Raw genomic sequence first — 1,005 nt, 5'->3', positions numbered from 1 at the left:
GGGTTTTATGCCTTGAGCCCTGGATTCTATCCAAGCCACAAGGGGTTTTGTGCCCTGGGCTTAGATTATGGTGTGTCAGGGTAGCCTTCCACCCTTTAGCATAGAGCTTGGTGTTCCAAAGGCCACGAGAGGTTTTAGACCCTGGACCCAGGACTTGTTCCAAGACTCTTTTACATTATGTCAGACAGGCAAGCCCTGCCTCAGCTTCTCTCCCAACACTCAGCTTTTCTCCCAACATCACTCAAAGGTGGGCACAACAGTGTAGAAAAATTAATTAGGAAAGGGTAGGTATATGTAAAATAGGAGAAGGGTGGAGACCAATCAGAGGAAAGTGTGCCAAACAGGAAGACAAGTTCTCAATCCGGTCCAAGGTTTTAACTTGTAGCTTGGCTTTCAGGCTGTAACCTGCCTTCAGTTTGGAGGTAGGGTTTCACCAGGGACCCAGCCCTATCTGCCTAGGCATTTGGCTTCCTCCTGCACTCTCAACATCAACTTCCAATAGTTGAGATGACACAAAGATAGCCCTCAGAAGGTGTAGTGATACTACATATTTTAAAAAGCATCACCAGCTTAAATAATTCTTTAACAAGATATTTGGATAAACTGTCAGAAGAGGAGAGAACTTAATCTCGAATACTTCACATTGCTTAACTTGACTCAGCTGATTCCTACTCTGGTTAATAGGTCTTGGCATCAGCCTAGAGTTTTCCAGTGGATGTTGAATCAAGTTTTGAAAGAAGATGACGTTCAAGTTTCAGGGAAAATTCAAATCATAAGACAGTCAAGGAATTAAGGAAGAGCACATCATGAACCTTAGGTGATTGTAGATTCATGAAATCTCAGAGTTGGAAAATAATTTAAAGGCCATCCTGAATAAAAAGATCACATTTATTGTCTGTTTCAAGATGATTTTTTCTTTCATGCATATCTGAGACAACATAAAGCTATTAAATACATGAAAGAATATCCTTATTACTTAGGAAAAGTTGAGTATAAAATAATCAC

At 40.6% G+C, this 1,005-nt stretch overlaps 1 annotated feature.

Moving 5' to 3' along the window:
* Positions 576 to 776: a silencer, noted in NCBI's record as "peak1431 fragment used in MPRA reporter construct". NCBI's record gives its function as "represses an SCP1 promoter by STARR-seq MPRAs in K562 erythroleukemia cells {active_cell/tissue: K562}" and the evidence as "EXISTENCE:reporter gene assay evidence [ECO:0000049][PMID:32103011]".

The sequence above is a fragment of the Homo sapiens genome, chromosome 11, assembly GCF_000001405.40.
Source record: "Homo sapiens chromosome 11, GRCh38.p14 Primary Assembly".
Taxonomy (NCBI): domain Eukaryota; kingdom Metazoa; phylum Chordata; class Mammalia; order Primates; family Hominidae; genus Homo; species Homo sapiens.
This window is presented reverse-complemented; position numbering and strand designations above follow the sequence as displayed.